Raw genomic sequence first — 24,499 nt, forward strand, 5'->3', positions numbered from 1 at the left:
AACTGCTATTTTGCATTCTTGTTGAGTTCCCATATCACAGTCTTGTTTGGGTCCTGGTTCCTTATTTTGTCTGTTTGGGGGGTCACAGTTCCCTGTTTGCTTATGTTTCCTGTGGATATACATTTATGTCTTTGCATCAAAGCATTAGTTATTTACTCATCTTCTCTGTATGGCTTTTTTTTTTTTTTTTTTGGATACGTTTGTTAGAGATTTTCTTGCCATCGACCTACTGATTTTCCCCTGACTAAGTCGCTGCCTCTTTTCTGGCACTAGATGGTGCCTTAACCCCAGGTTTGCCACCCACCCAAATGGGGACGGAAAAGTACCCAAAGGGGTATCTTGGTAGTGTGGAAGGCTGGCCAGGGGTTCACGCCCAGGGTGCCTGTGGAATGAACCTCATATACCCTGATGCTGCCGAAAAGCCACTCTGATTTGGTGTTTCTTTTGGCTGAGTTACAGAGCTGCCAAGGCTTGCCTCCTGCCTTTGTCTTTGGATGACCTCAGGGGTATTTTTCCCTTCAGGCATTCTTGATGCTTCCCATGGGTTGAGGTAGGGACAGGTCTCCTGACAGGGAACTCAAGATGGTGGGGAAGGTGGTTGTTAACCTTAATCTCCTTTTCCAATGTAGAACTCTGAGCTGAGGGGTGAAATTTTGGGGGGAAGGGCATTGAGGACATGGAGGTCCAATTATCTGACTACTTGGAGTCTTTTCACTTCTCCATGGTTCTGGGAACTATCTCTTTTTTATATTTGAATTCTAGAATATTGCTGGTGATAATCTCGGCACTATATGTTTGTCTTTTTTTGTGTGTGGGGGTTAGTGGGGTGGGGAGTAAAGCAAGCTTGCTTCTGTGCTGCCATTTTGGAACCAGAAGTCTTGGTGGTTCTCACATTTGTGCAACCGAATCACTTGGGGAATTGGGAAAAAAGTTTTATCCCTGGTCCTACACTGTCATCGTGAAGCAGGATTTCCCCAGAATGTGTACTTTCTCCCATCAAACTCTGGGAGCAGAATTTCTCTCATCAAATCCATGGGAATACCTTTAGAATCCCCTCCTTTCAGATCCACCCTTACCTGGAGGGATCCAGGTTGGGGCCAATAGTGGGAAGAGAAATTCCAGCTCTTGTAGGATGAAGGCAAAGGCTCTAATTGTGTCCATGGCAAAGGGCCTGGGTACCTGGCCCATTAAGCTGTCCTGTGGAGTTCTCCATGCCAATAAAACTTGGTCAGAGTGTTGTCTAAGACTTCCTCACCTCTTGGTTTTTATTTTTATTGCACAGAAAACAGTAAGAAGGGAAAGGATTTTTAAAAGGGGAAAATCACCACAATGCCAACATCTGGACATTAACCACTTTACTTTTTAATTTTCTCTCATAGTCTTTTGTAATTATTCCATTCAATTGCATTATTATTTCATTTATATTAAGGACCAAATATACTTTTGTGAATGAGCCTAGGAATCTAGCTCTCTTCCCTTTTATTAACAAGAAAATACACTCCAAGTTCTACACTAATTAAAAGTGAGAGTTTTGTAGGGCTTAAGGCTTAGAAGACCTGGGTTTGAACTGGAGTCCATAATTTACTACCTGGGCAAACTTTCAAACTCCTCTGTGCTTCAGCTTACCTCTAAAGCAAGGGTCACATTTAAGAAATGCCTGAAACATAATATACACCTAATAAATGTTAGTTTCTTTCTCTTTGTCTTTGTTGACAACTCTAAGTTTGTTAACACCTATTTTATGCTTGTAAGTTAAATTTTGTTTTCTTTTCATAATGGACTTCCTACCAAAGTTTCTCTTCTAAGGGACACTGTCTGATACTGAATATTTAAATTATTTCAAATCTAGTTTCCAGCTAAGGTGTTTCAACTTAAAACACATTTTGAAGTTTTATTTTTCCAAGCTGCATCAATTATAAATACATGAAAATCTCCAGGTATGTGTACACCATATTGATCAGAGTTTTACATTAATGAAGATGCAAGTTACTTGTGCATTCTAGTGAGAGGCCAGGTTTTCCTGCTCCCCTTTTATTGTGGAGAGTGGGGAAGGAGGAAGTGGTCAAGGCAGTGGCCTATTTTCCTTCCCAAGGTAGTGTGGCAGAGGCTATTCTTGTCTCCTATAACCTTTCAATCCTCCACCTGTAACTTAACTCTATCTGATCTCCTAAGCGAAGCATGTGGCTATCCATTATAGAGATGTTTCCCAGCCTCTCTGCAGCTAGGAGTGGCCATTTGACTATGTTCTGGTCAAAACATATGAGTGTAAATGATGTGCACCTTCACAATTCCTACCCTTTCCCTCTTCCCTTTGGCGGCAATGAAGATGTATATAATTATACTACTTTAGTTTTTTATATGAGAAAAAAAGAACTGCTAACTTGTTTCAGCCATTATTTTGGGCAGCAGCCCAACTTACATCCTAGTGAATATAGAGAGATAGTGAACATGGTCTGAGGCACTGAGGTTAAGGAATTTTCTAATATGGATAAAAAAGAAAGCACAATAGGAAGAAATGTTCAGTGTAGGCCAAGGAAATCTATACTACTTCCTCAATCCTCCTAAACATAAAACTTGGAACCATGAATGCAAAGATAGTAAAACTGAAATCTGACTACATAATTCTAAGAATGTACTAATAGTATCATGGCCCCAATGTACAGAAGTAGATCTGCTTTGTAAGCATATAATTCATCCATTTCATATGCAGCTTAGATAATATTTTCATGGTACATGCAAAAGGAACAAGAGTGGTGCCAATTTTTCTAAGTAAGATGTCTATCACATTTTAGATGGATATTTAGTTAAGGACCTTTGTAGGAAACTGATTAAAAGCCAAAATGGTTCTAGAGCATGTGATGAGGGAATACCACCATTAATTCTACAACCAAAGTTACACCCAGTTTCAGGTTTCTTCAGTCTCTAGTCTGAATTTAGTAAATGAGCCAATCGATGATTAATGTAATCATTCCAGTAATAACTAAAGAAGAGGTATCCACAAATAGAAACACGCAACAAGTCTGAAAAGTAACTGCATTTTGTAAGTTACTTTTGCTTTTCAGAATATAAATATCCAGCATTTACTCAGTAATTTCTGGTGCTTTCAAAGCAATGATCCTGCTGCTACATGGCACTGATAAGATATCATTAACCATTAAATTAAAGGAAAAGTAATGCCTTTCATGACTTGGAAATTTGAAAGTACCATGACACTCAAATACAGTTAAATAGCCATTCATTTCTCAAAAAAGCTTCATTTAAAAGTGGTCTTATGTATTTTGGAAGACTCAAGTTATGCATAACATAGAACCTACTGATTTAAAGGCTGCCTAAAGTAACAGATGGGCAGGTCATTTAAACTGACGTTCCATTTTGGTGGAAATGCACGGCAGGGGGTGTCAGAACCTCCAAGACCAGTGTCTAGTCATGGATGGAAAAGGAGCATAGAGCCTGGTGTTAAGTGTTACATGATCTGCCAATGCAAATATTATTTCTGCGTGCACCACCATATCAGGAAGGACCACTGACAGCATCTGTATGAGATAGTGTCAAACATTTTTACAAAGACTATCTTCACTGTTACTGAAAATATTGTTTTGCCAATTGTTCTGTGGCATAACAACCAACCTAGTCTTTGCTGGGATTTTGAGCAAGCAGAAAGCAGCTGCAACTTAAAAAAATAAAGAAAAGAAAAACAACAGAAAACTTAAAATTCCTCTCAAAGGAATTACAAAAACTATTCAAGTGGGGGAAAAGGCTTAAGAAGTAAAGTGTACATATTTTAGGATTTCATTTATGTAAAACTGTAGAAAATGCAAACTAATCCATATTGTTAGAAAGCAGATCAGTGGTTGTCTGGGGACTGGGGTGAGAGAAGGGCTCAATTGCAAGGGGCAGGAGGGTACTTTTGGGGCTGGTAGACATACTGAGGATGTTGACTGCTGGGGTGGTTTCACAAGTGAATACATAAGTCAAAACTCTGTAAGCAGCACACTTTTACTTAAATGCTCACCAAATTCTGAGGTGATTTAGCTTTCACACTGACTTATTTGGCAGGTAGGATATCTGCATTTTAAAAAACTGGATGCAGTTTATCATATATGAATTATACCCCAATTTAAAACAATGCAGATCTCCCACCTGCCAAATAAGTCAATGTGAAAGCTAAATCACCTCAGAATTTGGAGAGCATTTAAAATTACAGCATGGCAAATTTGTTTAGATCATAGACTTGGGTTTTAAAAGACATGGGGGTGGGTCTCCATGTTGGCTTTGTTGCTATCTACAGAGCGGTCACAAAGCCCCTGCATCTTCTAGTTATAAGTTATCTCGTTCTATTCCTCTGTTTGCCATTCAATCTAAGATTTTTCCTATGCTCTTCTTCGCATCATGGACTAATAGTGGCCACAGTGTCCCCATGCATGAGATTCTGCCTGAAACAGATGATGATGGAAAAGCAGACTCAGGCAGAAGTCTTAACCTTTAGGAGCCTATTTTCCCATCTGTAAGATGGGAATACCATCAAACTACTGTGTGACTGGAATGGACATGTAACTTGGTATTGGTAATAGCAGTGCAGTTTATAATATATGATAAACAAATATTTATTAAAAGAATGAGCAAATGAATGGATGGATTTACTAAAATGAAGGTAGAGTTTATAAGAATGTGTGCATATGTTAGGGTTGGAAAGCCAGCAGGTTGATAAAGGAATGAAATACCTAATTTAACTTAGAAATACTCTAAGAAATCAGCTTTCTGATGAGAAGAATCACTTAGCAATGTATGACGTGTTGTGCTTCACACAAATTAGGACTCATGAAATTGTGAAGAGCTCCATTTAACACAAAATTTTGAAATGCAAGAGATGATGTGTTAACTGGCCAATTACCCAGCCTCTTAAAAACCATGATTATCGTACAAAAGTGACATTTCAGTTTTTAGTAGGTTCTGTGTAAGGTAAACACGGTGCTAGAGCAGAACACTTCGCAGCTCATTTGCTGATACAAGTCATTCACCACTTTTATGTACCAGTTTAGAATAGGAATCTGAATTTTATTAAAAACAAAAATAAATCTAAAAAGCTTCCTTCAGTTACAAATATGCACAAGAATTTCTGCATTACATCATTTGACATAAAATGTTCTGAATGACAGAAGTAGAAGTAGAACTTACTACCATTTGAAGACAGGAGTTGAGCGCTGAAAACCACACACATTTATAGAAAGAAACCAAAGTTTCACAGGGAAGACCTGTGATCTCTGGCTACAGGAGCTGAAATTAGGAACATGAAAGAAACTTGAAGAGAGAAGACATTCAATACTCTAAAATACTTCAGCAAAAATAGTCAAACATCCGTAAACAACTTGTAACAAATCTTTATATGTTGTGTTGCTATGCGGTAAATATTCTTAACTGATTATTATTCAACTCAAAAAAGTGATTTTTATTGCTCACGAATACTTCCCTCTAGATTAGATAAAAGCTTGCTTTCTTTTCCTGGAGTCAAGAGTAAAATGTAATTAATGTAATTAGGGCTTACTCAGTGATTGTTTTTGAATTTCTTAGACTGGGGCATTCCAGCCACTTGCTTGGCTGTTTGCAATTTTCACCCAAAAAACGGTCAAAATAAATTGTAAAACCAGAACGAATAAGTTTGGCTCCTTGTTAACATTTTTATTTGCAGGATGGATGAGGAAACTGATGAAACTGGCTGTGGATTTTAATTATCCCTGGTATCTTTTTCTCCCATCTCCAAGGATCATCAGGACTTAAAAGCATGAAATTGACAACACAACTACTTAAAAACAGAGTAAGGCTGAACTGTACTCAATGTCCAGGGCAACTACAGTACTGAAAATCTCAAGGAACTTACTGTAAACAAACAAGCAACTGTTCAACAGCCTCTTGCATTTGGTACCATGACTAAAATCTACTATTTTCTTCCATTTACCTATCTGGATATTTTTATGAAATGACTACATGTAAAAACCATAATAAAATTTCCCTTAAATGTGTTATAATACAGCAAAACACATCAATGACTATAAATAAAATCTGAAATCTCGAATGCTAAATCCTAATGGAAACATCAAGCCTTAGCATTCACGCTTGGATATCTCGTGCTGAGATAAAAGGCCTCTTTAAAGTGACTAGGTCCCTTTCAGTGGAGTGACAGATGTACATACAAGCAACAATGCTATGGAGGAGTCATGCTTTATCCTAGTCTACAGTTATTTTCTCTGCCAATTTTATTTTACTATTACTATGCTGAATCCAATATCTGTTTCAGCTAGGTAATCAAATTTGGGAACAATTAACACTCCTTTTATTTAAATTAAATGACAGAAGACATTTATTTCCAGGAAGCTTTCTAAAATAGCTTTTGAAGAAGCTAAAAATAACAGTTTAGTATTCACCTGTATTGCTTGTATACACAAGGAATTCATTACAAAACTCAGTGGTAGGAGGAAAAAATAATGGAAGAAAAAGTTACCTGCTTTAGCATTTTAAAGAATAGTTTTGATAACTTCTTAGATCTTGCTTATCTGAAATAGAGCAAAAACTACAATACAGTCATGATAGAATTCTAATAATCACAGCAATTAATGCTTTCATTTTGAACTTTTTCTTCATAAAACATTAATGCTATAAAAATCAGACTGATGACATCCTTATTTAAAAGACATCTTGTACTGGTATCAAAATGTGACTTATTTTAACACCAACTGAAAAAATATAGAGTTTGTATAGTCTATTATTTCAGTGTCATTTTATTATTAAAGTTATTCTGAAGGTTTTGGTAGCAAAATTACTGTTAACAATATAAATACTCTGTAAGTGTTGAAATTCTCTTGAAAGTGTTGAAAGGCGGCAGGCATTCTAGAACGGGATTGTAAGGAAAATCAAATATTCCAATATCCAGGATAATTAGGACACTTGTTGAATTTATATTTGCTTCTTTAACTTCCTTCTGATTTGCCTGGTTTATTTCTCATTTGGTATCATAAAAAGAAATCTAAGTCCAAGCTTTTTTTAGCTGGAGTAATTACTTCCATTTTCCATTATTTTTCTTCATTTTTTTTTTTTCAAATACATGAGAAAACAATCCAAGAATCACTGCAGGAAGAAATGATCATTTAAGCTCAATCATGTTCTTTTGCCTTTTAATTTCATTTAAGAGATTAATATTAGAGTCATAAAAGCTTTACAGTTTCAACACACATACACACAATCACAGAATTAAAAATCTTTACTCCTTAAAAAAAAATGAGTTCCATTTTGTTCAATGTATCACAATCAAATTTTAGTCTAACAAAATCCGGTAAAACTGCTTTCATTAAATAGAGCAGCTGCCACTTACCTTTACATATTTTACGGATGGAACTGAGTTCAGTACTGATCCAAGGATGCTGGCATCAAAGCCCTTACACGGAACTATCCCTAAAGGTTCCGTATTTCCGTAATATACCACCAATCACTCTAAATTTATAATACCCTGTCTTTAACTTGGTATATACCATCTTTTGGGAAAAAAATTATTAATATTTTGAGATGAGATACAAGAATAAAGTCATTCTTGAGGTTCCACCTCTAATATGAAAAAATGGACGCTGTTTGCACATAGCAGCTAGTTTGATACCTCCTGTTCTGTTAGGCTAGCCTTCACACAATGAGCATGCATATACAGCCACAGTTCACTGCATCTGTTTTGAAGTTGCAAAGTGCTGCTCATTCAAGTCACAGATGCTACCATGTTATGCAATGAAACAGTAAAATTGTATGTCCACCATGAGAAAAGGAAAATAAACAATGAAAAAAATGCAGCAAATATAGGCAGTTGGCATTCAGAACACGCCAAAAAGCTAACACTCATGAATCGTCATTATAAGGTTTTCCTTTCCTTAAAAAAAAAGTCTTTCTTTGCATATTTCAAAATGTAACGGTCCCAGAGAATCATGAAGTGCCTTGTCGTTTCTGCTGCTGACTTCTGATGACCTCTAGTTGTTTTTTGCATTGCTGGTAGTAAGTAGAAAGGCTTTTGTTTTCATCTAAAAGCTTTTTATGTTCCTGTACCAGGCGAGATGTATTTTGCTGGTCCTTTTCATCCTGGTCCAGTTCTGCAACTAGTTCTTGCCTACAAACAAATACCACATAATATTACACATGATGGAAAAATTCATACCTTAGTAGCTGATGATGGAAGCTCAATTAATGAGAATTTTTATTCTTGGTTTATCATTTTGCATCTTAGGTACACTAATCAAATATAATTATGGGCTGGGATGGAACTCTCATCTACTTCTAGTGTAATCATACAAATAACATAATCCTTTTATTAAGTAACTGTACTTGGATAATTAGCGAAGCAGATAAAATGGTAAAATAAAAGTTTCAGAAAATTTCATTTTCTATCCTCTTTTTGTGTAGGAAGGATGAAAAAAGGCTGGGAAGGGTTCTATGTGGCTATGGGAAAATATCATGAAGTTTTTATCCTTCACATTCTACTTTTATACTGATTCACATTCTGAAGTCACAATCCTACTTAACTATAGCAGAGAGTGGTAAGCTAATAGCAAATTTGCAATCTAATTAAAATAAATGCTATCCAATTTAAAGCTTTTTCCCATTTTAAAGCAGTGAGAAAAATGACAAAGTACCACTTCTTTTAAAACACTTACATTTGCAAGCACTTTCAGGAAAGACCCTCATTCTTTTATAGTCTGATAAACTTATTTAAGTCCCTCTTATTTGGGAACTATTAAGTATTCCCGAAAAAGATGCATCTTTAGGCATTTCCTAAAGTGAGGTTACTGGATATAAATGAATAATTAATAAAAAGTCCTCAAGCAAAATAACTAACTAATACTACTTCTGAAAGTATTTAAAATTGATTAAAACTGTCATAGTTTTCACAGCCAACACCCTAATCCACCATTTGTTTTTTCCAGCATAGAATACTTCTTTCAAATGATTAAAGTATGGCAAAAGTATAGGTTAAATAAGTGAAATAAGAAATCAAGCTTTTTCAACATAAAAGTGCCAGCAGTTTGATAATTACTTCTACGATTTCCAAACTGTAGTATTTAATTTCCTATTTAGGCTTACCTTTCAAATACCAGGTTGGTTCCATTTAAATCACTGTATCAATAAATTATGATAAAACAATTTTTTCTCTCTTTTTTTTGAAGTACATACAGAAAGCTTTTCGCAAATTCAGAAAAAAACAACTTTCATTTATTTAGATTAAAATTAATGAAGGGAATCCTATTATCATACATATATAAAGTTGCCAAAATTTTTTCCTTATCACTTCATTTTAGTTACCACCAACAATTCAGTTACCTAAGTATAAAATTTCATGGAGGTCATGCTTAAGAAAACTGAAGATACATACATATTTAAGAACTGTGAATGCAGTAGTAAGGAAATTAGGCTGTGTTTCTTTAAAAAGGGAGGAAGGCAGTTTCTATAACTCCTCAGAAAAACACTCAGTTATGAAATACAGTCTTTTAATAAGTAATCCAATTCTAAACATACACCTGGAAAAAATGTATCTACAAAAATGTTTCTAAGATAAGGCACAACTGAATGTTAATAAATCAAATTATTTTATCTATTTACAAGAAAACAATAAATCTTTATAATAATAAGTCTAAACAGCTCTGAGAACATAAAACAACAAGTATAAAGCACCAGTTTATTTTCCATAGCACTAATATGATAGTCAAAAGGATTGAGTTTTGCATAAAAAATTTTTAGTAAAAGGGTGCTTAAAGCTTAAACAAGTTGAAAGTATACTTAATGACTAATTCTAAAAACTACGTTTTCATTGCACCTTATCATATTTTAAACTCAAAATACTAATGTATTTTTATTTTTATTCATAAAAAATAACTTACTTTCTCTGTAATAACAATGCAATTTCTGTTTGAACTTTCATATATTCTTGTGCCATTTTACAATGCTGTTCAAACACTGCCATAGATTCTTTGGAGTTTGGGCACGGTGCTAGAGGCTGAAAATAATCAGGAATGTTAAAACATAATTAAATCAAATTTCAATATCTAGCTAAGATGAGAGTCAAGACAGAGACTGTGATATATTTTTATAGCACTAAAGCAATGATCTTTTAAAAATAAGTGTTAAACCATGCCCTAGAAAATCTCAGTGTCCTTTTGTCAGAATTAACTCAGCATTTAAATCTATTCTTGCTGTTTTAACAGTCTGTTACAGAGAATCATGATTGTTGGAGTTGTAGTCTCTGGTATGACATTTCAGGCTGCAAACAGGCTCAAACTAAATGATGTTTATAGCCCTCATACTCATGAGGGGGCACTGAAGTATATTATTTACATTTTCAGTCACTATGAACATGAGAATGTATCACAAATGTATTAAATAGAAATAAGCTTATGAGTTTTGTTTTAATGCACTAAAATTAAAGAGTGAAAATGTAATGCTTAGCAGTACTAAAGAAAGATACTGGAGGATTTTAAGATGACTGAAAAGATAAGAATATGATTCTGCCAATTTAAAGTTTGATTAACTTAACCAAAAGAATTATTTTGATTTGATTCTAAAAAGTTTAAGGAGGCCAACTAAAAGGATAAATTAAGGAGTGACTATACAATGACAGGTAGCAACACAATTGTCAACTTAAACTCTCTAAGAAGAAAAAAGTCAACTTTCAATAAGAAAGTACTCCTTTACCTGTAGTTGGTGATCCAGTGTAAGATAAGCCATTGGGATGGAGTTATCTGATCCATTGGTATCTGGAATTCAAGCATGTATTTTATTGATTTTCTGTCACAAATAATTATAAACGAACAGCAAGAAAGCATGAATGAAATGCTTTTTTTCCCTAAAGTAAATAATATGTAAATTAAAAGTTACAGCTATTGGTAATTGAAGAGTCTATTTCTGAATTCTAAAGGTTAAAAAAAGGATATTCAATTATCAGATATTAGAATGCAATTATATTCTCATACCTATAATTTAAGTTGGCTATAAACTGAATAGAACACAATATATTAGAGCTTCTAAGCTCTTAATTAAAAACAAAAACAGTGATGAGACCTTTATATTTTAAATTCAGTCTTAATTGACCCTATCTAATCAAACTCCCCATCTCTTTTCTTTATCATGCTAAGTTTATTTTATAGAAGGCTATATCAACTCCGCTAATATCAATGTTCCTTAACAGGGAAAGGGAGAAAGCAGAGACACATTCTCTTCCAGTGGATCATTTTCAATTTATATAGATTATAATGTGACCTCCACCACTCATCCTGCCCTTCCCAGTAAGAATCACTGCAGAAAACGAGATGTTGGTGATGAGAGTATATTACAAATACGAACAGTAAGGAACCAAAATGAGGTTGAAACCTGTGGCTCAATGTCATGCCGAAAACAGTTAAGTTGATTAATTCAAACAATCAGTCAATTTTATAAAATTATTTGAATAGAATGCTTTTGTTTATATTTCAAAAGAGGTAAAACTGCCATACAACTTGACTGAGATGCGTGGGACAGTCTCTTCTCAACATTTATGGTTATGTAGAACAGTTCCAGAAGTAAACAGAGTAACTCTGAAGCAATACAGACTTTTCTACTTCAGAAGTAGTTGCTTTCCCACTGTTAGTAGACAAAAAAAGAGCTAAATGAGTGAGCTCTTCAGCCTTTTTCTGACGAATAACTCCTTGAAGGAGTGGTGTGGATAAAGGCAAGTCAGGAAGACAGCAGACGCACTGTATGCAATCCAAAAAAACTCAAGAAGGGTTGCTGGCTCAGTAATCTTCTAATTTATTGTCAACTGATAATCCAGGTGTTTTTTTTTCTTTTTGCTTTTGTTTTTGTTTTTTTAAAGCCACTGAGAACGTGCTCTCAAGAAACTCCAAAAGCTAATTAGCGAAATCAGACCAAATGAGCCAGTGCATGTGAGGAACACCATGCAAATCCTGGCGTATATTAAGCACTCAATACATGACGGTAGTTATCATTATTATTCATACTAAATGGAGAATTAGAAAGAACAATTTAAAATAGTATAGTATGAATTCCATATTGAAAAAGTAATGTTTATTAAATATTGCAGGGCAATACAGAAAAACAGTAGAGACTTAAGGCACTTACCCTTACCCTTAAGGCTCATATACAGTACTAACATAAATGTGTGTTTTTCTGAAGTGGCTAAACAAGAAATATACTTAATTTGTTATTTCTCTGACCAACTCTTCTCCCACCCCAACAGTGGTTTCAAACTACGCTCCCACATAAACACTGCTTTCCACAAAACTAAAACTGATTAAAAATGACTGATTTCCTCCTGATTTACTAGAAAAATTTAAGTGTCTTGAAAAAGTTTCAATTTAAGATTTCCATTCCTATTATTCTTTCTTAAATCACTGATACATTATATATCTCATTATATCAGCACCCTGTATCTGATATGTATTTTAGAATTAAGCTTAATACATCAGTGTTGCGTGGTATTCTGGGAGCAGAAAAAAAGTCCAAGGATTGTGTTATTCAAATAATTAAAGCCCTTGTATGGTGGGGAACTTAAGGTCCTTCATTGAATTTCATCTTCTCTCTAAAAAAAGAAGTGGGATTTCACTTTCTCACTTTACACTAAATTGATATTGAACTTCCAATCTCTACTAGCAATAATTGGTCACAGATCGGAAGATTATTTAATGAAAGTTTTTTGCGTGTGTGTGTGTGTGTGTGTGTGTGTGTGTTTCAATTGCTAATCAAATCTAATTGCTTCTCCTGAATGTCAAAGCTCATGTTGGTTTGGTTAAATTAAGGCAAACTCTCTTTTCTGACCCCTCAAACACAACACTTGTTACTATCTCATATTCTTTGAGTATGCATTCCCTTCAGTGGAATGCTGCCTTCTCCTTTCTGCTTTATGGCTAAAGAAAAGTCTCATCATTTTATGAAAAGGCCAGAGACTATGCCAAGTCTTGTTGAACTGATTTCTCTTACAACTATCAAAACACTCAGCTTGTACTATAAATTTAGTAAGTTATTATATAGTATAAGTTTACTTTTAATGTGTCAGTATTATGACTCTAACCAGACTGCAAGGAATGGGCCATGTCTTACACTTTATATTAATACATGTTTGCAAAGTACTAAGCAAAGGTGAAAATTCTTTAGTGAGTTTCCCCCTCTGCGGCTCCCTCTACTGCGTCTAGATCTCTCTCTCACTAGATCCTCTCAGTATGTGTGTCTTTTTGAATACCCATTATATTATAAATAGGAACTGAAGAGCGCTTATTATCGGCTATGATTATTAAATTGTTATGCTCTTTAGCTTTCTCTGAAAATATACAAAAACCTCTCAAATTAAAAAAATTTAATTAGGTCACTTTAACTTACATTTACACTCTTAATTTTTTCCTTGGTCAGTGGGCCTTCAAAGAAAAAGACTTTACCTATCTGTTCCCTAATTTATTCTATTAGCTTGGTTATCAATATTTTTCTTACAAATACTGCACAGCTGAATTAATTATAAACTTAAACCAGAGCATCCATTTTTAAAATGTATTCAAAATTATAGCCACACATGTGCAATATATTTCAAGGCAAAGACAAAATTCAGCTGATATTGCAAATTATTTCTAGCAATTGGTATTTTGTGGTGTTTCTAGGTACAGAAAAAGAAAACAATGGGACGGGAGTTGGAAGGTAGAAGCAACATATGAGGCAGAAATGTAGCAGTTATGTGAGAGAGAGCCTTAAACATTTTTTATTTTACCCCCATGAAGTCACAATCTGCCACACTATTGACTGGCATATACAGATTAGTGTAGACTGAAGACAGAAGGCTCTGCTGAGTTGAGTACCAGACCCGGGCAAATGCTGTAATGTCAGAGAACGTACTCCCTTGCCAGGGGGTTCAGAAATCAAAAAGAGCTGCTATCACCTGAATGTTAATGATAAAACTGGGCAAGAGCATTGCCCTGTCTACCACTGGGGAGGAGCAAGTCTATAATGAATTCTACACATGTGCTGCGTAGTGGTGAATGCTCTGGACAGTCCTAGGTTGGGCTGTGCTAGGGGTGAAACAGGAGTTTTTGCCGCCACTAAATTTAAACTTACTAAAACTAGAGAGTACACCCTGGCTAAACATAGTTCTATCTTACATGACACACAGAAAAACCACCCAGTTAATTTTTTAAATTAAATTATAAACTTGACCAAACCACATCAGATAACTATAAATACTTGAGTTGTATTTTAGTTTGTAAAGACAGAAAGCTGGCTTTTAAACTTCAATCTAATTGTTACTATTAATAACATAGTCGATCTTATATAAAATATCAAATGCTTTAATTTTCCAAGGGCTAAGAGATCATCTTTCCCTTCGTGACTTAATATAATATAAATAAAAAATTTCATAAGTACACTTAAAAGCATTTATCAAGGTATTCTCTTAAAGTTAGGGAAAAGTTAATTCTACTATGGCACATCATTTCCTGTTTGCCCATAATGAAACGATGCCGTCACTACCTTTAGGCAGGTAGACATTAATACTAATATTGTGAACAGTTAGTTATTCATGTTGGGGAGCTTTAATAACTCATCACAGGTTTCTAAAGGTCTAATAGAATATTTGTATAACTGAAAATGGTGTCTCTTATCAGTTAAAAACAATTCAAAAGGTCAATGGTCAGAATTTTTTTCAACTTAAGGTACATGACATCTCGTGTCCTTAAAAGATTGAGATGAAGATGATGGGGATGATTTTTACCATTCTCCGATTTTGGTTACTGAAAAAATGACTTTACTACTATCATCTAGTAGGATGAATCTAGTAGGAAAATCACAGGCTGAAGTATCAAGAATTCAATACGCTTCGCAACTGGAAAAAAACCCCAAACAGACAATCTTTAAAATACATGTTTAGTATCTGGATTAAAAAAAATACAGAAGGCAAGGCAGTCTCTGTCTCTGTATTCAAAATGGTATTTTAACATGTATTACTAAATAGTTTATTTAATATAAAAATCTAAACAACAGTATAATGCCTGCCTTTGTAAACATTAGAGTAATGACATGGCCAAATGAATATAAACATGACTGATTCAACTTCATAAGTATGAAGAAACAGACTGGTCACCTGTGGAATCATCAGGGGTCCATGGATGACTTCGAGTTGGCTTTTCTGAGGTTGGTCCTGAGGTAGTAATCATTCTGACACTGGGACTGGATGACCTACTGCTCACCTACAGGAAGAAGTCACAGGAGAAACAAAATGTGATTTTTTGATTAAAAAAAATGACGAGAACGTTTCCATTAAAAGGCAAGAAGAGACTTAGAGATCCCCCCAAAACTCTTGTAAACAACAAAATAAATCCTCTCTTATATATATGTAAAAATTTATATTCACTCACGCATGATACCTATTAAAAACTGATGAGCTTGCAAGAAACTAAGAAATACTCTGAGATTAGAAACAAAACAATATCAGGAAACTAGTAAGTGCTTAAGCTGACAGCCCTCGGAATTTCAACTAAACACCAATGGCCTAGAGCTACTGTTTTCACAGGCTGCTGCACTCAGAGGAATGGACCATAAAGCCTTGGGCCTTTGTAGGATGGAAGTAAGACTGGAGAAACCTCTGCTTAAAGCTAAAACTCAGCAAAGGCTTCACTCTCAGAGAAAAGGTCACTCAACTAGGAAAAAAAAAATCTGACCTACAAAAGCAGACAGGAAACAAATTTGTCTCTCTTGGGTTAGTGGCTCTGGGTGGAAGGGAGAAATGTATTAACTGTGAATCCACAAAAAATTTCCAGATTGGATGCAGGTTACAACAAATTCCAACCACAACAAATCCCCAGCATAAGAAATAGGAGGAAGCTCACAAATTGAGTTCAACATGGAACGTATACATTCAAATTCTAGGAAACAATCAACAGGAGACAGAAAAAGCAGCCAGAAGAAAGCAGAACAATATCTTCAAAGTGCTGAAAAATAACTGCCAGTCTAGAATTGTCTAGCCAACAAAATTTGAAGATAGAGGCCAAAATAACATTCTTAGATGGGCAAAAACTGAGTTTACCTTCCATACATTCTTACCACATAAGTTTTTCAAGCATGTATTTTTGGAAGAAGAAAAATTTTACTTGATAGAAGGATCAAGATGCAATAAGGAATAGTGATAAACAGGGAAATAAATCTACACACTGAAAACATTCAGTGACAGAAACAGTGAATTTATAGAATTATCAAACAAACAAGATGGCACTAAAATTATAATAACAATAGCACAAGCATGAAAAGCACTGACTTAAAACTCCTTGTTTTAAATATTGTTCAGGATGAGGGTACAGATCTTTACTAGGTTGGGCATGAATGTTAAAATTTCAAAGGTATTTACTAAAAGTAGTAATTAATATATAACTCCCAAACCAGAAAGAAAATAATAAAATGAAGAATAAATTTATTCAACTCAAAACTTGAAAGAAAAGAAAGAGAAATAAAACATAAGAGAGCAAACTTATCAGTAACCACAATAAATGTAAATGAATTACTCTCCAGTTAAGATATTTAAAAAAAAATCAGATTGTCAGGATGAATTAAATGCTATTTATAAGAGACATATCTAATTTACAGAGACAGAGAAAACAGAAAGTTAAAGGATAAAAAAAGAAAACCAGGCAAAAACTACCCCAAATAAGGTACCTATATTAATATCAGAGAGAATGTATTTTAGGGTCCAAAAAATTACTAGAGAAAGAGATAATATGATAAGTGGTTCAATTCAGAATACAACAATTCAAAATTTATTTTTTAAAAACTAATTTTTTTTTGTAGAAATGGGTCTTACTATGTTGACCAGGCTTCTCTCAATCTCCTGGCCCCAAGTGACCCTCTTGCCTCAGTCTCCCTAAGTGCTGGGATTACAGGCATGAGCCACTGTGCCTGGCCAACGATTCAAAATTTATATGCTGTACATACAAATAGATAAATCAAAAAACTGCAAGGAAAAAGGACATATCCACCATCACAGTGAGATTTGTTTTTAAAGACAGGGTCTTGCTCTGTTGCCCAGGCTGGAGTGCAGTGGTACCATCATGGCTCACTGTACCCTCAAACTCCTGGGCTCAAGCGATCCTTCCATCTCAGCCTCCCGAGTAACTGGGACTACAGGCACACACAACTATGCCCAGTTAATTTTAAAATATTTTGTAGAGCCAGGGTCTTGCTACGTTCCCAGGCTGGTCTCTACCTCTTGGCCTCAAGTGATCCTCCCTCCACAGTTTCCCAAAGCACTGGGATTGCAGGTATAAGCCACTGTGCCTGGCCAACAATTCAAAATTTATATGCTGTACATATAAACACATAAAGTAAAAAAGCTCAAGGAGGTATCGTCAAACTCCTGGGCTCAAGTGATCCTCCTTGAGTAGCCTCCTGAGTAGCTGGGACTACAGTTACATGATATTGCACTTGGCTAATTTTTAAACTTTTTGTAGAGATGGGATCTTGTTATGTTGCCCAGGCTGACCTAATGGCTTCAAGAAATCCTCCCACCTTGGCCTCCCAAAGTGCTGGGATTACAGGTGTGAGCAACTGTGCCCAGCCCCACAGTAATATATTTTAATATTCTTCTGTAAATTATATAAAAGGAGACCAAAAAAACAAAACAAAACACACACAGTAAAACTTGAACTCCATAAAAAACAAGCTTAATCTAAACATAAGTGACTTTACGCCTAGCAAATGAAGAATACACATTCTTTTTAAGCATTCATGGGACACTAATGAAAACTGATTATGTACTAAGCTATAAAGCAAATCTCAAAGTTAAAAAAAATTTCAGTATCATAACTTAATTACTTTTTATACTGATTTCAAAACCTTTAAAAATCTTTTGTTTTGAAAAACACTTCTAAATAACTCATTGGTCAAAGAAGAAAACAAAAGGGACATTAGAAAGTACTTGAACTGACTTTTAACGTGAATCATGCTAATACTTGGGGATGTGACTATAAGAGCATTTAAAGGAAAATATTTAATTCTAAATATATATATGAAAAAACCAGAAACACTGACAATTTATAAGCTAGAGATCTAACTTAGTTAAAAAAAAGAATTTGCCTCCCAAAATGAAAAATAGTAAAAGATAGTATTTTGAAATCGGAGACAATACTATAAAAATGAACACATTCTTTAAAAAAAAGTTTCAAAAATTCCTATACATTATAGAAAATACCAAGCACAGAGGAGGGTTTTACAGGTAAGTTCTATCAAACATTCAAGATAAGGATTTTTCCAATCTTAAATTATCCTAAACAAAGAAAGAAGAAACTTTCTGACCCATTCTGTGAAGGCAGTAAAAATCAATATGTAAGGACAGTGTGAGAAAGAAAGTTACAACTGAACCTCACTTCCAAAAAAATAAAATAAAAATAAAAAGACACAAAAGTCAAAATTTCTAAAAATTATATTAGCAAATATAATGTGGCAGTGTAGAAGCAATAAAAACCATTTAAAAAGTTTAGTTTATCCAACTTTGCAAATGACTGCAAAGGTCACTCATCTGACATTAGGAAATTCCATTAATAAAATTAATCACATCAACAGATTAAAGGACAAAACCTCAACAGATGCAGAAAAAGCATTTGACAACATTTAACATCTACTTATAAAAAAGACATTTAACAAACTTAAATTCCATGTATGAGAAGAGAATTTCTTTTTCTTTCTTTCTTTTTTTTTTGAGACAGGGTCTTGTTCTCTTGCCCAGGCTGGTGTGCAATGGCACCAACACAGCTCACTGCAGCTTTGACCTCCTGGGCTCAAGTAATCCTCCCACCTCAGCCTCCTCAGTAGCTGGAACCACATGCTCACGGCACCATGCATGGCTAATTTTAAAAAAAATTTGTGTAGAGACGGGGTCTCGCCCGTGTTGTGCAGGCTGGTCTTGAACTCCTGGGCTCAAGCGATCCTCCTGCCTCAGCCTCCTAACGTGCTGGGATTATAGGTGTGAGCCCCTGTGCCCAGTGGGAAGAGGACTTCTTAATCAGATAAAAGGTATTTATGATATCTGGAAACATGACATATGACAGAACATGGCACTGAGGGTTGGTGGGGAAATGACAGGGAAGGCCACAGGCGAGGAACACACAGGGACCAACCCCCACTGGGATTGCTAATGTTCCATTCCTTAAGCTGGGTGGTGGGTTCACAAGTGCTCATTTTATTTTCATAACTTATACATTATATACATTCTTGTCTACATATTTATATTTCATATATTAAAGCCTTTCAAAGGACACAGAAACTAAAATGGGTTTCATAAGGACTTTTTTTTTTTTTTTTTTTTTTTTTTTTTTGAGACGGAGTCTCGCTCTGTCGCCCAGGCTGGAGTGCAGTGGCGCGATCTCGGCTCACTGCAAGCTCCGCCTCCCGGGTTCACGCCATTCTCCTGCCTCAGCCTCCCGAGTAGCTGGGACTACAGGCGCCCGCTACCACGCCCGGCTAATTTTTTGTATTTTTAGTAGAGACGGGGTTTCACCGTGTTAGCCAGAATGGTCTCGATCTCCTGACCTCGTGATCCGCCCGCCTCGGCCTCCCAAAGTGCTGGGATTACAGGCGTGAGCCACCGCGCCCGGCCTCATAAGGACTTTTTAAAAAGCACCTTTTTTTTCTTGATGTGTTACTGAGTACCAAAGAAGAGACTTAAAAAAGAACATGGAGTTATAGAAAATAAAACTTAAAATAAATTCATGAAGAATCTTATATCTAGCTTCAACATATATACAAACACTCAAATTCAAGACTGCAACAAGTAAAATGAAATGCAATACAAAAGTACCTTTGAGTAGAATCCATCGTATGTGAGTTCTAATTATGCTGTAATGTCTGCTTCAGATCACTTCAACCTCTCTTTATCTGGAGAGGGGTTGGGGCTGGGTTAAGAATGTGATGAGAAGTGTTCCATATAGTGCTAAAATTATATGATTTTAGGTCTTGAAAAGCCACAATGGATTCAGGATAATAAACAGTGACAGGTACTTTGTTTTCCTCTCATTTCTGTTTTTTTAAAAATAATTTTTAATTTTTGTGTGTACATAGTAGGTACATATTTATGGGGCACATGAGATGTTTTGACACAGGCATGCAATGCATAATAATCACATCATGAAAAATGGGGTACCCATTCCCTCAAGCATTTATCCTTTGTGTTACAAACAATCTAATTATACTTTTAGTGAAAGGTACTTTCCTAACAATTTCAGAGAAAAAAATCATAAATTAACTTTGAAGAAAAACTGATGAAATATGACTTTCATTTTGGGTACCCACTGAAATTGCTTCAGAAATTCCAAAAAGCTTTTCTACACCATAACCAATTTTTAACTCCATATAAGATTGCTCATTCTGTTCTTTTCTTCTCCTTGTTAATCCTTCCCCACCCTGTAAGGCCCAGCTCAGGTTTTCTTCTACATTATGTGGTGATTCTTGCCACTTCTCTGGTTGTTTGTGTACAAGGCCAGACCTTGTGTTTGAGGACATGGAGTGCCTAACAGTGTACTGCAGGCAAAATGTTCGTTTACTGATTGTTACTGAATCAATTCTGAAATTCTCACTCTGGCATTCATGACTCTCCATCAGCAGGTTTACCTTGCCCATCTGGATTTTCTCTCCTCTTAAAATTCCTCATGCCCCTGTTTCCCTTGCAGTTTTTAATCCTGACCTCATATTCACCTAAAGATAATACGGCGTAGTGCACAGGGCATGCATAAAACTGAACCAGATAAAACTGGTGTTTTTGTAGTTGAAAACTCAGCAACTTCACATGTTTCAGTCTAATACTTTGGAGACCTGGGGTTATGTCTCCATTCTGCCACTTACAGCTGTGTGAACCTGTGTAAGTAACTTAGCCTCTCTGAGACTTAGGTTTCTCATTGATGAAGTGTGAATGAGAAAAAGTAGTAGCAGTAAGAAGTTGGGTGTTGGAGACAAGACAGCCCAGAGTTTGACTGTGCTCTGCCATTTCTAACTAGTACAGCTTTGGGTAACTTATTTAACCTCTAAGACTCAATAGGAAAATAAGGACAGTATTATCTATCTATAAGGTTATAAAAATTAAATGAAATGATGTACATGAAATGTCTTCACACGAGATTTTTTTCTTCTTTGAATTTTGGCTGTATAGTCAGTTCCTACTTCAACTTGTGCCCGAAATTATAGTAGTCTCAAAGTTTTACTCCTCTTCAAAAGTATTATAACCTCTTAAGGGCAGAGACCATGCGTACTTTTTATATTGTACTTCCCAGGATCTGGGAAATTGCTGAATATATAATAAACACATAATAGATACTCATTGAATAAAATGAGAACACAAGCTATTAGCACTCAGATACAAGATTGGTGCTTAAGCTTATTTACCTTTAGTATATAAGAATAACAACGACATACACCAAAGAAAACCAGTGATGAAATGTTTCACTCTTACTTTTAGGATACTTTTACCCTTGACAAAGCAAGTATAGACATTATGAAATTATTCCTGAGTCTTTTTAACTTTCTTTGACTGAAAGCAAGTACACAAATATGCCCATAGTTATAACTGCTATTATAAATCAAAGGCATTTTTCCTTCAAAGTGGTGGCAGACCAGGGTTTCAGAGTCAGTGTAATGCTAATGCACATTTTAAAAAGAGAAACACATGTTTGTGACATGTAAGAATCAGTATCAGTTGTGAGAAATCAACAAAATACAGTAGAAGTAATAATTAGGTTTTTAAAATGAGAATGGATTTAGTATATTTAAAAAAGAGGTCACTGAACATCTGCAATATTAAAACAAATAAGTTGGACCTAATAGGAATTTTATAGTACTCCTTAAGCTTAAATCTTTTGCAAAATGATTCTTTGCTACACCTTTCTTTTCACCTTCTACTTTCCAAGAAACTCTTAGCACCTTCTGTGCATGCTTGTTTGTCCCACTTGTAATTTCCAACAGCTATGAAACTAAGAAATATAAGGCTTGCACTTTTAATGCAAGTTTCAAAACTGTTTTTAGACCAGCACAGTTAGATTTAAATCCATTAACTAATAAATAAATCTTTATATTTTAAGAAATGTGTATCTCAATAAATAAAAATATGCTAATATGTTTGTATAAAAAAACTAAGGAAATATTTAAAAACAAGGCATAACTGTAGTTTTTGAGTATGTGAATAATACAAGGCATAAATAAGAGGAACACATAACATCTGACAATCAATGAAAAAACTCAAACTAGTTTGTGGCTGAATTTATGTTACTGCTTGTAACCAACTACTGAAGAAGTTTTTACAGTACTTATTTTTTAAAATCACTGGTAAAATTCTGAGGGTCACAAATGCTCTCAAACTATTAAAACTCATTTAAGTTGCTCCTTCCTCTAAGACATTTAAAATTACTTATTCTATCCCCACATTAATTGCAAAGTTTAAGAGATATAGGCAAACTTGACTTACCAAAAGAACTGGATATGAAAGTCACAAGAGTATAGAAACGTGACACAGCAATTTAAGGCAGCAAAAGAATACTAAGCCAAATTTAAACCTCAGGGGCAGATTACCATCAGTAGACATGAACCAGAATTGGCCTTTGACCAGAAATTTATCCCTATATTTATAAAAAGGAATTGGAAGTTATTTTACAGACAAAAATAAAGCTCAGCTTTTAATATCTTACCTGAAAGACTGGGAAAATATTTTCATAAGTCAGGAATTTACACCCAGTGTTATTATTTAGACTGACATTTAAAAGCTATTTAATACCCTCAGAAATCTTAGTAGCTAAAATTATACAAGCACAAAACACAGAGATTAAATGATGACTTCTATGATATTCTTGCTAAAGTAACATCTCAATAATATAAATATTTTTAAAATGGGTATAAGTTGGTAATGTGGATTTACATGGGTACTTATTATGGTAGTTACAGATAATTAAATCTATACATGAAGGTTGTACTGAAAATATTCTTTCTAATCTAAAGGTCTGTAGGCTTGATCTATTTTGGCTTCACTACAGTTTTTCATAAGGAAATTTCAGAATTTTATTATTCTTACATGGTCTTCTACAATAGAAAGGTGTCTGTTCTCCAACAGAGGCCAGGCATAGTGGCTCACGACTGTAATCCTAGCACTTTGGGAGGCTGAGGCGGGCAGATCGCTTGAGGCCAGAAGTTCGAGACCAGCCTGGGCAACAGGGTGAAACCCTGCCTCCACTAAAAATAAAACAAAAATTAGCCAGGTGTGGTGGCACATGCCTGTAATCCCAGCTACTCGGGAGGCTGAGGTGGAAGAATCACTTGAACTCAGGAGGCAGAGGTTGCAATGAGCGGAGATCACACTACTGCACTCCAGCCTGGCTGACAGCGGGGACTGTGTCTCGGAAAAAAAAAAAAAAAAGAAGAAACGTGTCTATTCTCCAATAGAAAGGTATACTATGAAGAAGGAATTATTCAAAACTATTACATAAGTTTCTGATTTAGAGTTTACCAGAACATTTGTTTACACAAAAGGAGGTGCAGAATGAAGATGGAAAAAAGTAGTATAATAAATCACATCCCTTAAATAAATAATAACAATGTATATTAATATCACTCAATATGCGATAAGAGACCTTTAAAGCAAATACTTTCCATGATCCTTGACACAAGGTTTCCTTATGATACAGAAAGAACGCTGGTGGATTTTACTTCTTTCCAAGTGCTATTTTCTTTTTATTTCTCACTATCATGAGAGCAAGGAAGTGATATCAAGAGCCCGGTGAGGCACACTGTGGAGAGGCTGGCATACAACATGGATTAGTATCTACTGTGTGCCCTGGCACTTTCACATCTGTTAAGAACTCTGGGAGGTGGGTGTTATGGTCCCTATTTGCAGATAAGGGTGCAGAAGCTCAGGGAAATTAAGGAACTTGCCCAAAGTCACATATTTGACTAGTAAAAGTAGATTATAAAGTCCATATGGAAATGTAATATGCCCACTTCTCTAAATAATCATAACTGTATCATCTTGCAGTCGTAATTTTCACTGACTGCAGCCTCCTCTAAGAGAATTCTTGAATATAGATCTATACTGAATACAATTCCAGAAGGGGTATTCAGGCATTTATAAGAATGTATATTGTTTTAGTGAAACACAGAATGGCTCACCCAGGTGTATAAAACATAAATTTGTGCAGTCATTGGTAGAAATTTATTATCAAGATAGGTTAACCTTGTTCAATGATATGATACAGCTACAATTCATCATCACTTAACAACTGTTTAAATAATTAATGACAATGCAGACTATTAGAAGCCAAAATACCTAAATGTAAGAGATCTAGGGCTATAACAGCATGCATCACATCTAGTTTCACATGCAAGTTAGAATGATTAAAGTATAGAGTTTGTGTGCTTTGCAATCAGGTCTGGATTCAAAACCTGGTTATAGGAATTACTGGCAGTATAAGGAAGTAAGAGACTTAGGTCA

At 35.1% G+C, this 24,499-nt stretch overlaps 1 protein-coding gene across 5 annotated transcripts in view; it reads right to left on the reverse strand.

Annotated features, from left to right (window-relative positions):
* Positions 5,035-24,499, reverse strand: part of MAP3K7 (mitogen-activated protein kinase kinase kinase 7) — a 73,494-nt gene continuing 54,029 nt past the window's right edge. For 3 of the 5 annotated variants that reach the window (NM_003188.4, NM_145331.3, XM_006715553.4), the window contains 4 exons: positions 15,134-15,239; positions 10,714-10,775; positions 9,903-10,018; positions 5,035-8,137 (listed from right to left, as the gene is read on the reverse strand). In NM_003188.4, coding sequence (NP_003179.1) covers positions 7,957-8,137; positions 9,903-10,018; positions 10,714-10,775; positions 15,134-15,239 — 465 coding nt within the window. In that variant the 3' untranslated portion in view covers positions 5,035-7,956. The remainder of the gene's footprint in view (positions 8,138-9,902; positions 10,019-10,713; positions 10,776-15,133; positions 15,240-24,499) is intronic. The other 2 variants (NM_145333.3, NM_145332.3) reach the window with 1 other exon arrangement.

Source organism: Homo sapiens, chromosome 6 (genome assembly GCF_000001405.40).
Source record: "Homo sapiens chromosome 6, GRCh38.p14 Primary Assembly".
NCBI lineage: Eukaryota > Metazoa > Chordata > Mammalia > Primates > Hominidae > Homo > Homo sapiens.